General features: G+C 40.2%; 1 protein-coding gene and 1 long non-coding RNA gene across 17 annotated transcripts in view, besides 1 other annotated feature; one reads left to right on the top strand and one right to left on the bottom strand.

Moving 5' to 3' along the window:
• Positions 1-199, bottom strand: part of EPB41L2 (erythrocyte membrane protein band 4.1 like 2) — a 223,899-nt gene extending 223,700 nt beyond the window's left edge. For 10 of the 16 annotated variants that reach the window (NR_146620.2, NM_001135554.2, NM_001350314.2 and 7 more), the window contains exon 1: positions 109-199. The gene's annotated coding sequence lies outside the window, so the exon portion shown is untranslated. Of the gene's footprint in view, positions 1-95 lie in introns of all 16 variants that reach the window. The other 6 variants (NM_001350320.2, NM_001135555.4, NM_001350315.2 and 3 more) reach the window with 1 other exon arrangement.
• Positions 96-435: a silencer, noted in NCBI's record as "silent region_17543". NCBI's record gives its function as "represses an Ori minimal core promoter by ATAC-STARR-seq in GM12878 lymphoblastoid cells {active_cell/tissue: GM12878}" and the evidence as "EXISTENCE:reporter gene assay evidence [ECO:0000049][PMID:35858748]".
• LOC105378004 (uncharacterized) lies at positions 357-12,132 on the top strand. The gene is made up of 3 exons (XR_942993.3): positions 357-570; positions 5,848-5,964; positions 11,577-12,132. It is a non-coding gene; the product is annotated as an uncharacterized LOC105378004 (long non-coding RNA).
• Positions 12,133-16,626: the final 4,494 nt, after the last annotated feature.

A 16,626-nucleotide genomic window follows, 5' to 3' on the forward strand; every position in this document is an offset into this window, starting at 1 on the left:
GCTTCCCAGCTGCAGCCAGAGGAAAAATCTGAGCCGCCCCTGCAACCCCACACTGACCAGTCGCCCGGCCCGTGCAGCCCCGCACGCCTCCTTACCCCGACGCCGTACCTCAGGAGCTCGCTCGCCGCGGGACCCGTCCCTCTTCAGTCCCAGCCGCCGGCAGCCGCGCCTGCCTCCTCCCTCCGCTAGGTTTCAAATTGAAATTCCCTGACTGGGGCCGTCAGAGGACTCTGAGGGCCGGCCCCGCCCCCTCGCGGCGGAAGCCCCTCCCGCGACCCCGCCGGACGAGCCCCCGGCGCGGAAACCCCCGCGGGCGGTCCCGCCCCCGACGCCCAGGCCCCGCCCCTGCGCGGGCGGGGGACCTTTCCCGCGGGATTCGGCAAGCGCGGCCGCGGAGACCCGGGGGTGGAGGACGTCTTTCGCCCTCAGGGCAGCCCGGATGACAGCTAATGCGCCTGGGCAAGGCGTTCTCAACTGCGATTCCCGGCCTTAAATGTCCTCTCAACTTTTAAAAGTTATTTATTCAAAGTGCATTTGCTGACTAAACCTTCACTGAGCGCCTTCCTAGAGGTAAACACTGGAGCAGAGCCTGGAGATGCAGAATAAGGAAAACTGGGTCTCCCTCAGTCTAGAGTGGAAAAAGTGCTTTCACAGGAAGGGCATTGAAAAGGAACCATTTATTCTTCCTGTGGGAGGGACAGGAGGGGTTGGGGAAACCCCGTGGAGGAAAGGCCTCCCCAGAGTAAGTAGGATTTCTCTGGGCAGAGGCCTGGGAATCTGGATTGCAGAGCATGACCACGGGTGAAGAAGAGTCTGGAAAAAACCTAGTTTGGGGCTAAATTGTGGAAAGCCACAAGCACACACACGCTACCCTTCTGGTTCTTTTCTTTTGTACAATGAGGTCAATATGTTTCAGATTCAATATATTTCATCTTTTGAAGGTTTGCACGTCAAGCTGGTGTCAAACAACGTGTCCAGCTCACTGCCTCCAGCATCTGCCTCACACGCACCTCTTATCCCTTTTACTCCTCCCACTTTTATTGAGGTCTTTAGTGATTCCACCACAGCCAAAGTCGTCTCCCTTTCTTTCCTAAACAGAACCTTTTCCAAAATTAACAATGTCAAATGAAACCTCAGTAACAATACCTTCCAGTTAACAAAATACATTCACATATTTTATCATCATTTGATCCTCACAATCACCCTATGAAAAAGGCAGGCACGTTTGAGCTCCATTACATCAAAAAGATTTGGGAAGATAAATTATTTGCCAAGGTCCTTCTAGTAAATAATACAAATAATAATAGTTAAGGTTGATTGTGTGCTTTATGTGCTAGGCATTGTTCTAAGTCCCTTACATGTATTAATTTAATCACAATCCCATATGCTAAGTATACAAGTTAAATTTTATAAGGTGTGCTAAAACAGAGCAGAAATCTGATTAGACAGCAATTCTGGTAAAGGAGACCTGGGAATTTAATGAGAAAATACTATTATTTTCTCATAATAAGAAATATGCAGCAGATTTACAACGAAACTAATGAAACAAACTTCGGGATCTCTCATTTTCACAAGCCTTGAAACTAACTTTATAATTTTGTATTTCATTTTGTGTTTTTTAAAGAGTCCCTAAAGTCATATAAGCTTTTGGGCCCATAAAACATTGAACCACCCTGATGGAGCCCCCTTTAAAATGCTAGTGCAAAATAACATAAATATAGGCATAGTTAATAAAATATAATGCCCTTCTCATAAGAAAGGATATGCTTACTATACTCTGCGTTGAAGTACATGAATCACTCCTATATGCCACCTCTTAAGAAGAAATTTTTCCCTCCAAAAGAAAATATTGATAAGCTAAATTATAACCATAAATGGGTGACCTTGAAAATGTGGGAACCAGCAAGATTTAGCCTAAAGAGATGATTAAAGGTGATAAAAAGGTTGTCAAATGTATAAAGGCTATTGTGTGAAAGAAGAATTGAACTCTGTTTTTGGACACAGCCTTACATAGCCCTGGCATTTTAATGGAATGGAACAGATTCAGTGAGGACCTAGCAGGAACTGAGGGCAGAAAAATCAAGTCCCAGAAGCTATAAGGAAGTGAAGAAAACTGATGGAAGTGGCATCATAGAGATTTAGCAAACAACAGGTGGTAGTCCAGACAACCAGGGAAGTCTAACAAGAAGAGAAGAGGGGTTTGAACAGAAAGAAGGACAAAGTCCTGGAATAGGTGACATCCAAAGACTCAGGCAGGCGGAAGCACTGTCAGGACTACCAGGCTGCAGTTCAAGGGCAGAATGTTAATCCCCAGGAAAACACTCTAGGTAGAACAAGATTGGGTCTTCCTGCTAGACACACTGTAGTAACAGGCAAAGGACTGACACAGAGAACAAGAGAAGAATATAGGTACTAGTCCTGAGAGCTACCACATCCAAATTTACCATAATAGCCTCAATCCTGGGCACTATGTGCAAGCAAAGTTAGTCTGGAAGTATGGACTAGAAATGTACCCAGGACCTCCTTAGTGCCCTTACTTACCAACTCACCCCCATAGGCGTGGCCTCTGGAAGAGCTTGATCTCACTATATCCATGAGTCATCATTTTATCTTTGTGCCTTCTGTGTGCCAAGCCCAAACCAGGTTGGAGTGGCTCTGGGTTGAGGACCTGCCCTTCCTTTACGTGGTCCACAGGCAGCAAGACCTGAAAATGCCCTCTCCTACTATTTCTAAGGCATTCTCAAGCTTCATCGTGAATTCATGCAATCCCAGTTCCACTGCCACAGCAACAAACATATCACACAAATGACTGCAGGAGTCACTCTGTCACCTGGCCAACTTTGGCTCAGTTTCAACTGGACTACAAGACCCTGCTTTAGTGACTTAAAACAACCATTTTATTGCTTGTGGTTCTTTGGGGCAGGAATTCAAGCAATGCTCAGCTGGGAGGCTCAACTGTGGATAAAGGATCTAAGATGGCTTCACTCACATGTCTGGCAGTTGGTGCTGCCTGTCAACTGGGGCACCTAATTTCTCCTCCACATGGACTCTCATCCTCCAGACTCTTTCTCTCTCTCCCTCTCTCTCTGTTTCTCTCTCTCTCCCTCTGTCTCCCTTTGTTTTCTGCACGCGCTCCCTCCCTCCATCCTCTATGTGGCCTATCTAGTAGGATAACCCAGACTTCTTTACATGACACCCAGCTTCCAAGAGAACAAAAACAAATGCTGCAAGGCCTGCAAGGGCTTTGCCCAGAAGTCACACAGCATCACTTATGCTCCATTCTGTTGGTCAAAGCAAATCAGAGGGCCAGCCGCAATTCAAGGAGAGGGGTCATAGACTTTGCTTCTTGGTAGGAGGCGTGGAATGTCTGTACAGTGAGGGGGAAAATTGTTGACAGACATCTTGTAAGCAATTCACTACAGGCACCATGTTTTTCTAGTCTGGTATTCAAGTTGGCCCTCAAGCAACTCTTTATACAGATTTTTTATCAAAAGCATCACAGGACCTCCTTTCCATCTAAGACACACCAAGTGATGTCATCTTTGGAAAAGCCACTCCCAACTATGGCTAATAACAGGTATATGCATCTCAAGCCTGCCAAACTGAGGTATTCTCTCAATTGTAGTTGGAGTTTTGCCACACACACACACACACACACACACACACACACACCCTACTTAATTAGGCTCAATGACAGAGAAACAGGGATGGACTGGCTGATTCCCTTAAGCTGGAACAGAGTCTTCAGAGTTGCTCCTCATGACATCTCATAATCAATTGCTCCCTAGAGCTGAAAACAGAAATGGTACAGATCCAATAAAAGTCCCAGAAAAGCTACATTTGGAAAGCACATATGTATATTATTTTAGCGCGTGGTGGCACACACCTGTAATTCCAGCTACTCGGGAGGCTGAGGCAGGAGAATGGCTTCAACCCAGGAGGCAGAGGTTGCAGTGAGACAAGATGGCGCCACTGCACCCCAGCCTGGGCGTCAGAGCCAGACTCCCGCTCAAAAAAAAACAAAAAACAAAAAACAAAAAAACAAAGAGACATCAAAAGAGAAGGCTCCAGGCTCATTCATAGACATAGTCAAAGCAAAGAGGAGACTCTGAAAAGAGCCTAAAGGGCTCTTTAGATTCCTATTTTGCAGGGAATACGCAGAAGTCCTGCTATGGAAAATGATTGAGACAGAACACCAAACTTTAATAAAAGTGGACTGGCATGTGACCACCCCACTCCACTACATGCCTGCAGTCAGCAGACTGCCCACTTAATTAGATGTGGGGATGAGGAAGGTAAAATGACCTTTAAGCAGTGTCATTGGACTTTGCTGGACAGACAGAATTACCCCCACAATACCATAGACAACTTCTGATGTGGTGTGACAAGGCGAGCCAAATTCCTTGGGCCCACGCTGGGGAGCCTTGCCTGAGGAGCATAATTTGTAAGTGGTCTCAGCAAATGGTGGTAAAATCCATCAACAGCGACAATCAGAGCAGCAGAAGAGGCTGTTGAATTACAGTACCAGGGGGAAAATTAGAAGAGTAATCCCCTGGATTATATCCTTGAAATATTTACATAGCCCAGACTTGATTGGCTAGTTTGTAAAATAGCCCCCGGAAATAGTGGCGACAGTGGGATTGGAGCTGGAATGTTGCCGTTTCTAAGCAAACAAATTCCTCCCTTTGGAAAATGGACCATCTTAGAGAGTGGTCCTTCGTTTATTCAAAACAGATGTGTGGCGGAAGGTTGGTATTAGCAAAGTACCATTCTTCAGTTTAGTTTTGTGTGGTTTCCCAAGGCACACAAATGTGTTCTACTTATTAGAAAACACTTAGAAGGATAGGGGTTTTAAGGTTATATGTATGCTCTTACTGCTTATAATCCCACTCTCTCCAGAGGAAAACCTTCCAGGAGGGTGCAATAGCTGAGAAGAAGAACACACCCAGAAAATGAAAAAGGACGACTCAACCATAGGTTTTGCAAAGGCAGGGACTTCGCTTTCTGTACCATTGTATTTTAGTTCCAAGCACTGCAACTCATAAAGGGCTTCTTCAGTAAACATTTGTTGAAAGAGTGAACCTAATTGAAAATGAGTGAGGTACCTTCAATTTCCTACAATTTGATAGATCCGGTATTCGGAGGAAAATTCCCAGGGCATAACACCTAAAAATGATGAATGTAATTTTTTAAAGCATTTAAAAAATACATGGCTGAGCCTGGTAGAAAAGGTAAAGTAATTGTGAGAGGCTAGAATCTGTGAGGAAGAGCAAATCCCAAAAGATAAGCAGATGCTAAAGCAGGCACAGGCTCTGCACACATTGATAAGGCTGTGCCTTGTGCAAGAGCACCCAGTCAAGGTGAACAGTGAAGCGATGTTTAATCCACACTTAGCTTCTCAAGGCTTGACTCAGCCCGGAAGAAGAAATGTGTTTTTGATATTCATCCGGCAGGGCACAGTGGCTCATGCCTGTAAACCCAACACTTTGGGAGGCCGAGGCAGGCGGATCACTTGAGATCAGGAGTTCGAGATCAGCCTGGCCAACATAGTGAAACCCTGTCTCTACTAAAAATACAAAAATTAGCTGGGTGCGGTGGCATCAGCCTATAGTCTCAGCTCCTCGGGAGGCTGAGGCAGGAGACAGAAGTCAATAGGAATACATAAGATTTTTAAAATATAATTAACAATATTGAAATAATGAACATACGTAGAAAATTTCACTCAGCAACTCAGAATATGCATTCTTCTCAAGCATACAAGGACTCTTTATGAAAATTACATAGTAGGCTATAAAATGAGTTTCAACTAACTACCTTCCTTCTTTTCTTTTTTTAAATTTGAAACAGAGTCTCACTCTATCACCCAGGCTAGAGTGCAGTTGTGTGATCACCCAACAGTCCCCACAGTTCTTCTGGGCTCAGGTGATTCTCCCACTTCAGCCTCCCAAGTAGCTGGGACTACAGGTATGTGCCACCATACAAAGCTAATTTTTTCTTTTTTAAATATTTTATAGAGACTGGGTCTTGCTCGGTTGCCCAGGCTGGTCTTAAACTCCTGGCCTCAAGTAATCCTATACCACCTGGCTTCCCAAAGTGCTAGATTACAAGCATAAGCAACCGTGCTCAGCCAGTTTACAACTTTCAAATTTCAGGTTTAAACCGAAGCCTCAAATTTCATACAACTGATATAGTCTAGCATACCGCACACTGACTTCATTGCAATTAGGTAATGAATGAATAATAACTAAATAACTTTTAAAACTCCATTTATTTTCAGGAGGAGGGAACTTCCTAATATTTCATGGGCAGAGAAGAAAAAACATAATAAAAATTATTAAAATGCTCAGAACAACGTAATGACATGATTAGAATGATTGTGGAATTCAGCTAAAACAGTGCTTCAAAAAAAATCATAGCCTTTGATGTATGTAGTAAAAAGAAGGAAGGCTGAAAATTAATAAGATAATCATCCAACTTACAAAATTAGTTTGAAAAGAATATTCTCTAAGAAAGTAATAAATATAAGAAGAAATTAGTGATCTAGAAAACATTGGGAAGAGAGGATCATCACAGTCAAAATTTGGTTCTATGAAAACACTTATAAAATTAATAATCTCTGGCAAGACCAATCTAGAAAAAAAGTAGAAAAACTAGAAAAGTGAGATGGCACAAATGAGCAATAGTAGGAATACCAAAAGGGAAAAAGAAGAAGCAGCGATTTAAAAGATAACCCAAAAATACTATTAACTTTAAGACAAATGTGAAAGCTTAGGGAAAGGGAAAAATTCTTAGAAAAATTATAAATTGCTAAATTCAACTAAAGAAGAAATAGAAAAGCTAAACTTTTCTGTGAACATTATTGAAATTGAATCAGAAGTTTAAAACTTCCCAAAAAGAAAGCACCAGAGTTAGGTAGTTTATAGATGAGATCTACCAAACAGAGTCAAGAAACAAGAAATAACAAATTGTCCTTGCTCTGCTGCTATAGCACTGCATGTTCGGCCTACAGACCACTTGGCTTTTTAGGTGATAGCTTGCTAGATCATGAGAAGCTGTATCTGAAACTGAAGGAGAGGCTGCACATCTAGACCTAGAGATCATGTATTGTGAGCTAGATTACGTGACATTGTGGGACTTAGGGTTGTTTTCCTTGTGGAAAAGGTGAGTATGTTCTTTGTGTGGAAAGAAGGGGAAGCAGATGTTTCCCTACCAGAAGAAGAGATCACTGGAGACAAGGCTATGTAATCACCAAATCATATTTTCTTTTCCACTGGAGCACAAAACTGTCTATATCTCCCAGCATCCTTTGCATTTAAGTGTGGTCATGTGAGTGGGTTCTCGCCAATGGGATGTGTGTTAGAGATGATGTACGCTGTCTGTAGGCCTAGTCCCTATTAAAAAAATCTCTTGTATGATCTATCACTCTCTGTCTCTTCCTTTGTTTGTTAAATGCAGAGGACCCAGAGGAGGACTCTGAAGCCCTAGGGGATATAAGAGCCTCTAAAATGTAAGAAGCCTGGATCCCTTAATGACTATATGGAGCAGAGTCCTCCCCCATGCCCACCCATAACCAATACTGAAGTGTGAGTAAGAAATGAGGGAGAAATAAACCCTTATATTGTCGAGCCACTAAGATTTGAGGGGTTTTGTTTTGTTGTTGTTGTTGTTGTTGTTTTTAACAGCAGTTAGCCTACCCCAAAAATATAGCAGTGCTAAACCAACTCACCTAGAAAACAGGAAAAGAGGAAACACACTCCAAGTCATTTTATAATTCCAAAACACAGGAACACTACAATGAGGAAAATCTTCAGATCAATCTCAACAACAGGGAAATATACACAACAGGGAAAATAGCTAAAATCTGAATTAAAGGTATTAGCATAATAAAGAAAGAAATGATAAATTGTGATGAAGAGTATCATGGAAATTTGACAGAGTTGGTGGCTTTTGAGAGGAACTTCATGAGCAAGGGTGTTGAGACTTCAAAGAGGAGCTTGAGTTTGTTCCTGATTGCCTATATGCAATAAGGAATCACTACAGATTTCCAGAAGAATTGTCTTTTATTAAATGTTTTATTCATTTATTACTGTAAATATAGCTTTCCTATAAAGTCTTACTTAAGCAAAACTTCAAAGTATAATAACTCAATTCATTAAAGTCTAAATTCAGTAAATTGAGCAAATATTTTTATCGCAATGTGCCATAAGCTAAGTAGACTTGCAAGCCGGTCCCTCCCTCCACCCCTCAAAAAAAATGAGTGCTTGGCTTGTAACTTCTTAACCCATTGCTCAATTATGTCTAAATAAAAAGAGGTTTGGTGAAATTTTTACATTAAAAAAATTCGGTTTTTCTCTAAGAGCTTCATACATCCCTTGTGAAAGAATAATACTCATCCTGATATGTTGCTTATGTCAAGTATTTAATATTCCAAAATATCTGCCCCCCCCCCACCCAAAAAAAAAGAGTGAACTAAGTAGAATCCTCCAAAAGTGGGTGGAGGTGAGCCTTTGGGATAAGTAGGGTCTGACTCTTCATGTGAGCTCAGTGGTGTCAATCACAGCTTTCTTGCCAAGTTAATAACACTCGACATTCTACCACCTGGAGTAGGAACACAGTGGGAGAATTTCAGATGCATGAGGTTTTTCCAAGAAGAAAAGTTTAAGATGTGAGAATAGGCTGGTTATGAGATCTATCAAGCAAATTCACCACCAGTCTGAACTGATCTGATCTGCCTGGTCAAACACTTTGCCTTGCTTCCTCACCAGTATTTCTTCAGATCTCCAAAAGCTCTGACCTCAACAAACAGCTTTCCCAGTTGGTTTCATTTCTAGTTCTAATATTTAAAAATAAGTTTTTGTCTGTTTTGGAAAAGGCTAACAGGCAAGAGTAGGCTCCCAAAGATAGAAGTCGTATCTAACATCTTATACCGCAAAGAAAATTAACCCACTTATACCAAAGGTTGCAAATTTATTTTTTGAAAAATCAAACCTTGGCAATGACCTTGAGCAGTAGGACATAAATAACCCCCACAAGCTTAGCATCCCAATAATGGAACACTAGACATAAATGGATTAATTAATTAATCCAGAAGTTAGCTGAGGTTAGGGTTGGGGAAGACAAAACCTGCAGTGAAGAACTCAAACTTCCCCATGAGGAGGCGTTTATACCATGCATGCAAACATGACAGAGTGAAAGCAACATATTAATCTGTGTCTTTTTTTCAACAGCTGTATTGTAAAGTTACAATGCATTTAACTTGTCCCTTATTGAATTATATGTAGTTAAAACTTTTTGCTCCTATAAATAATGCTTATAATAAAATTAATATTCTTGTCTAAATGTCTGTAAGTAAAATGTACAAGTATATATGTAGGATAAATTTCCAGAAGTATAACTATTGGGTGGAAGAATATTTGAAGAAATTCTTCATATGTGTTGCCATATTTGATGACAAATTTTATGGCAAATTACCTCATAGGTCACTGGCTGGACTGTGGATTGGCTGGAAGGCTGTGGTTCAGATGTTTGGGGATACAATATGGCTGTGCATGTACTGGGGGTGAGAGGTGAGGGTGGCAAATTTACCAAGAATATTCCTGTTCAAGGAATATCCTGGGGCCCATTCCCTCTGTAGAAACTGTAAATACTACAGGTACTGTGTTTGAATAGCTCAATATTATTAGACCCACGGGAAGATCTGGGTCTTGAATACCCTAGAACATACAAAGAGAGAACAAGGAAACAGGTTCTTTGAATGATTACATTTACTCCAGGCATAATTACTGTGCCAATGCAAAGCTACTTCAAGATGGAGATCTCTTAGGTAGGGTCAGAAAAAGAGTAGACATCTGTGTGTTTAGTCAATTTTGACTTTATTATATTTGGAAATTTGAATTTTCTAAACTTGCTTGTTTTTATGCTTTTGAATTTTTTAAATTGAGTTTTGATTTTAGTTTAGATTTATTTTTATTGCTATCTATTTTAAACATCTGCCAGAACTACAGTGAAGGAAAAAAAATAAGGGAAGATTTTGATAAAACCTAAGTAACAGGCCAAGGAAATGGAAAGCCAGTTGCTTCCAGATATAACAGAGACAACATTAGTAGAACATCAGGAGATCCAGAAAACCACAGGAGGCTGACTACTTGGCACAGTTGGGAGACAAACCTTGTAGGCCAAAGAAAGAAAATTGAAGATGATAGAGATTTCTCTTTTGCTTTCACACACAAGTTTCTTTAACCTTTAGCAAAAGATGCAATTCATTTTGTAGCTGAGGATCTTTAATTGGATGGCATTTAGAAGAAAACATAGCTAGTTATTTAATCTCATAAATTCAATTCAGTATCTGTAATTTCTCTAAATATTTCGTAGTTTTCCACATAGACATCTTTCTTAGCTTTAATTGTACTTGTTGCTAGGTATTTGATTTTTTTCATGTTATTATAAATAGTATCATTTTGTACATTTTGTTTTTTAAGTAATTTATATATTAAATGGAAATGCAATTGATATTAGTATGTGTGCTTTGTATCCTGTGATCTTAATAAATCTACTGTTAATTCTAACAGTTATTCTGTAGACTCTTGATATGGTTTTGGCTTTGTGTCCCCACCCAAATCTCATCTTAAATTATAATCCTCAAAATCCCCACATGTCAAGTGCGGGACCTGGTTAGAAGTGACTGGATCATGGGGTGGTTTCCCCCTGCTGTTCTTGTGATAGTGAGTCAGTTCTCACAAGATCTGATGGTTTTATAGGTGTTTGACATTTCCTCCTACACACGCTCATGCTGTCTCTCTCCTGCCACCATGTAAAACATGCTTGCTTCCCCTTCTGCCATGATTGTAAGTTCCCTCAGGCCTCCCCAGCCAAGTGGAACTGTGAGTCAATTAAAACTCTTTCCTTTATAAATTACCCAGTGTCAGATATCTCTTTATAGCAGTGTGAGAACAGACTAATACAACTCTTTTGAATTTTCAGTGTACACTATGATGGTTTTAAAAATCTGCCCACAGGCCTAGCATAGTGGCTCACAACTATAATCACAGCACTTTGGGAAGCTGAGATGAGAGGGTCGCCTGAGCCCAGGAATTGAGACCAGCCTGGGCAACATAGCTGGACCCCATTTCTTTCTTTTTATTTTTTTTTATTTTTTTTATTTTAAGTTCTGGGATACATGTGCTGAACGTGCAGGTTTGTTACATAGGTATACATGTGCCATGGTGGTTTGCTGCACCTACCAACCTGCCATCTAGGTTTTAAGCCCCGCATGCATTACATATTTGTCCTAATGCTCTTTCTCCCCTTGCCCCCCTACCCCTCAACAGGCCGCAGTGTGTGGTGCTCCCCTCCCTGTGTCATACCCCTTTTCTACAAAAAAAATAAAAATAAAAATAATCTGCCCACAAATTTTTTTAACGTACCTTTGTCTGGCAGAGACTAATTTCCTTCCACTGAGTGTGAGACATACTTGGTAACTTGCTTTTAACTAAAGGGATATGGCAGAAAATTACAGAGTATGATTTCCAAGGCAAGATTGTAAAAGATGTTGTGGTTTCTATCTTGCTCTCTCTTAGACCATTGGTTCTGGGAAGCCAGCTGCCATATGGTGAAGACCCTCAAACAGCCCAGGGCAGAGGCCAATGTGCCAACAACCAAGTGAGTGAGCAATCTTAGAAGTGGATCCTGCAGCCCCAGGAAAGCTTTGGATAACTGCAACCCTAATTGATGTCATGAAAGACCTTAAACCAAAATCGATCAGCAAAGCCACTCCCGAATTCCTGACCCACAGAACCTGTGAGATAATAAATATTCGTTAGGCCAGGCCCTGTGGCTCACGCCTATAATCCCAACACTTTGGGAGGCCTAGGTGGGTGGATCACCTGAGCTCAGGAGTTCGAGACCAGCCTGACCTACATGGAGAAACCCCGTCTCTACTAAAAATATAAAAAACAATTAGCCGGGCAATTAGCCTGTAATCCCAGTTACTTGGGAGGCTGAGGCAGGAGAATCGCTTGAACCTCAGAGGCGGAGGTTGTGGTGAGCCGAGATCACACCATTGCACTCCAGCCTGGGCAACAAGAGTAAAACTCCATCTCAAAAAAATAAAAAAATAAATACTTGTTGCTTCAAGCTGTTAAGTTTTTGGGTAATTTGTTATACAGCAATAGATAATTAAAATGTGTACTACCCACATTTTATTTTCAAATAATAGTTTTATTTCATTCTTCTCATTTTCTTCTTTATTCCTTATTCTTCACTTACTATACTAGCTGGGACAATGTTGAATAGAACTAATGACAATGTGGCTCTATATCTCATTCCTAGTTTCAAGGAGAATATTTCATTCATTATTAAGTACAATGCCTATGTTTAGCTTTAGCTTTTTGGGTAAATACCTTTTATCAAACTAAGAATGTTTATTTCTAGTCCTAAATTATGAAGAGTTCTCTTCTTTTTCTTTTTTTTTTAAAATAATGAGCAGCTGTTAAATTTAATCAAATGAGTTTTTTTCCTCTGAATCTATTAAGATGATCATATATGATTTCTTTCCTTTATGAAGTGAATTACATTAATTGATTTTCAAATGTTAAGTCAACTTTGTGCTCCTATAATAAATTCAGTTTAGGCCAGGCACGGTGGATCACGCCTATAATTCCAGAACTTTGGGAGGTGGGAGGATCACTTGAGCTCAGGAGTTGGAGGCCAGACTAGGCAACATGATGAAACCCTGTCTCTACCAAAAAATACAAAAAATTAGTCAGATGTGGTAGCACATGACTGTAGTCCCAGCTACTCAAGAGGCTGAGGTGGGAGAATTGCCTAAGCCCGGGAGGCAGAGGTTGCAATGAGCTGAGATGGCGCCACTGCACTACAGCCTGGGTGACAGAGCAAGACTCCATCTCAAAAAATAAATAAATAAAAAATAAATTCAATTTGATCATAATGTATTACCTTTGTACACACTGCTATATTCAATTTGTTAATACTGTATTTAGAATTTTTGCATTTTCATTCATGAGAGATATTGAACTGTAATATTTCCTCTTTAGTAATGTCCTTAATTAAATTTTGGTACCAAGGTGATGTTAGCCTTATTAAGTTGCAAAGTTTACACTCATTTTCTATTTTCTGAAAGGGTTCTTATAAGATTGGTGTTATTTTTTCTTAAGTGTATAATAATTTACCAATAAAGACATATAGTCTCAGAAAATTTTGTGGAAAGGTTTTTAATTACAGGGCTTTTTAAATCAAAAAAGGTTTTGGTAAGTTGCGTTTTTAAAGGAATCAAAATTTCTTCTGAATTTTCAAATGTATTGGCATAAATTGTTCATGTTTTTATTAGCCTTTTAATGTCAAAAGGATCTGTAGTGCTGTCTCTTTATTTCTGACCTAGGTCATTGTGCTGTCTCTTTTTGTTGTTGTTTGTTTTGTTTTTTTGAGACAGTCTTACTCTACTGCCCAGGATGGAATGCAGTGGTACAATCTTGGCTCATTGCAACCTCTGCCTCCTGGGCTCAAGCGATCCTCTCACCTCAGCCTCCCAAGTAGCTGGGGCCACAGTGTGTGCCACCACACCCAACTAATTTTTTGTATTTTTTGTGGAGATGAGGTCTCCCTATGTGACCCAGGCTGGATGCTTTCTCTTTTTTTCTTGATCATTCTTGCTGGGGGTTAATCAATTTTATTAGTCATTTTAAAGAAGACCTTTTGGCTTTAATTTTTTTCCCAGTGCCTTTTTTTTAAGAGACAGGGTGTTACTCTGTTGCCCAGGTTTGGGTGCAATAGTGCAGTTATAGTTCACTGAAACCTCAAACTCCTGGGTTCAATTGATCCTGCCACCTGAGCCTTCTGAGTAGCTAGGACTACAGGTGCTTACCACCACGCCTGGCTACATTATTATTGTTTTATAGTGACAGAGTCTTGCTATGTTGCCCAGAGTGGTGTCAAACTCCTGGCTTCAAGCAATCCTCTCACCTCGGCCTCCCAAAGCTCTGGGATTATAGGCATGAGCCACCACGCTCAGTCCCCCGAGTGTTTTTTGTTTGTTTCTTTGTTTGTTTGAGATGGAGTTTTGCTCTTGTTGCCCAGGCTGGAGTGCAATGGCGCAATCTCGGCTCACCACAACCTCTGCCTCCTGGGTTCAAGTGATTCTCCTGCATCAGCCTCCCAAGTAGCTGGGATTGCAGGTATGCGCCACCATGCCTGGCTAATTATTTTTAGTAGAGATGGGGTTTCTCCATGTTAGTCAGGCTGGTCTCAAACTCCTGACCTCAGGTGATCCACCCGCCTAGGCCTCCCAAAATGCTGGGATTACAGGCGAGAGCCACCGCTCCCGGCTGGTGTTTTTTTTTGTTTTAATCTAATTGGTATCTGCCCTTATTCTTCTTATTTCTTTCATTTGTTGTTCTTCTAAAATCTTAAAAAAGCTACTTAGATTATTGATTTTTCAGTATTTCTTTTTTCCTTATATATGCATTTATGGCTATAAAATTCTTAACCTTTCATGCATTTTGATATTATATTTTTGCTTTCGTTCAGTTAAAAATATTCTTTTGGTTCAAAATCTGGGTGTATTTGGCACTATTTGATACCAAGACTTATTGTAAAGCTGTAAGATATGCGATATTGCCAGAAGGATAGACAAATAGGCCACTGGAACAGAACAGAGTGTTGGAAACCAGACCCACACATGTATAGTCACTCAATTTATGAGAAAGGTGCTGCTGTAGGGAAACGGAGAAAGAATGTTCTTATCAAATAAATGGTATTGGGTCTATTGGATATCCATAAGAAAAAATAAATGAATCCTGATCCATTCCTCCCTGTCCATATAAAAACCAGTTGTGGCTAGATTGTATAATAGACCTAATGTAAATGGAAGTATTTAAAGCTCCTATCTACAAAAGGTAATATGAAAGAATGTCTTCATAATCTTGGGATAGGCAGCAATTTCTTAGAATTAACATATGTGTGCATGTACACACACACACACCCCATAAAGAAACAGACTGATCTGTTGCATTCATTAATAATTAAGAACAATTGTTCAGGAGAAGATATCTTTAAGACAGTGAAAAGGCAAGTTGCAGGGTGGAAGTAGATATTTGGAATTCACATATCTGACAAAATATCCTTGTGTAGAATATATAAAGAACATCTACAAATCAATAAAAATAAGCCAAAACACCCAGTGGAAAATGGGCCAAAGACATGGCAACTTCATAAAAACAGGATACTCAAAGGATTAACAAACATATAAAAAGTTTCTCAACATCTAACTCAGGAATGGAAAACCAAACATCGTATGTTTTCACTCATAAGTGGGAGCTAAGTTATGAGGATGCAAAGGCATAGGAATGATACAATGGACTTCGGGGACTTGGGGGAAAGGGTGGGAGTAGGGTAAAGGATAAAATACCACAAGTTAGGTACAGGGCATACTGCTCAGGTGATGGGTGCACCGAATCTTACAAATCACCACTAAAGAACTTACTCGTGTAACCAATCACTACCTGTTCCGCCAAATCCTATGGAAATAAAATAAAATAAAAAAGAAAAGTTAACATCATTAGTCACCAGAGGAATGCAAATTAAAATCATGTTGTATTACCACTATGTAGCCACCAAAATGGCTAAAAATAAAAAGAATGAATACTAAATGTTAAGGATGATGAGAGTCCAAACTGGTAAAACTAATCTGGAAAACTGTCTGGCTGAATATACTAAAGCCAGGCATATGCATATCTTATGGCCCAAAAATTCTACTCCAAGGAATATGTTCTAAAGAAACGTGTACATAAACACACCGAAAGACACATATGCAAATGTGCATAACAGCATTTTTGAAATAACTCAAATAACGGAATATGCCCAAATAATAGAATTATGGTATGCTCATATAATCAGTTATAATACAGCAATGAAAATGAGTAAATTGTTGCTACAATCAAACATGGATGTACCTCAAAAATGTAATGATGAGTGAAAAAAGCCCAATAGAAGAATATACACAATACGAGTCTATATATATAAAGCACAAAAGCAGGCAATAATAATCTATGGTGATATCAATCAAGGATAATGGTTAACCAAACATGGTATGTTTTCACATGTGCATATGTACAAAAACATATTCCTTCACATGCTTGTGAAGGAATGACTGAAAGGGGGTTTTGGGGTGATGTCAGTGATGTATTTTCTGATACGGGTGGTGGTTACACAAGTGTGTTAAGTTTGTAAAAATTCATTGAGTGGTAGGTTTATAATTTGTGCACTTTTCTGTATGAATGTTATACTTCAAAAATTAGCTGGGCGTGGTGGCGGGCACCTGTAATCCCAGCTACTTGGGAGGCTGAAGCAGGAGAATCGCTTGAACCTGGAAGGTGGAGGTTGCAGTTAGCCAAGATCGTGCCATTGCACTCCAGGCTGGGCGACAGAGTGAGACTCTGTCTCAAAAAAAAAAAAAAAAAAAAAAAAAGTGTTGAATGAAACAAATGCTGGCTGGGCGCAGTGGCTCATGCCTATAATCCCACACTTTGGGAGGCTGAGGTGGGCAGATTACCTGAGGTCGGGAATTCAAGACCAGCCTGACAAACATGGAGAAAGCCCGTCTCTACTAAAAAT

Source organism: Homo sapiens, chromosome 6 (assembly GCF_000001405.40).
Source record: "Homo sapiens chromosome 6, GRCh38.p14 Primary Assembly".
Lineage (NCBI taxonomy): Eukaryota > Metazoa > Chordata > Mammalia > Primates > Hominidae > Homo > Homo sapiens.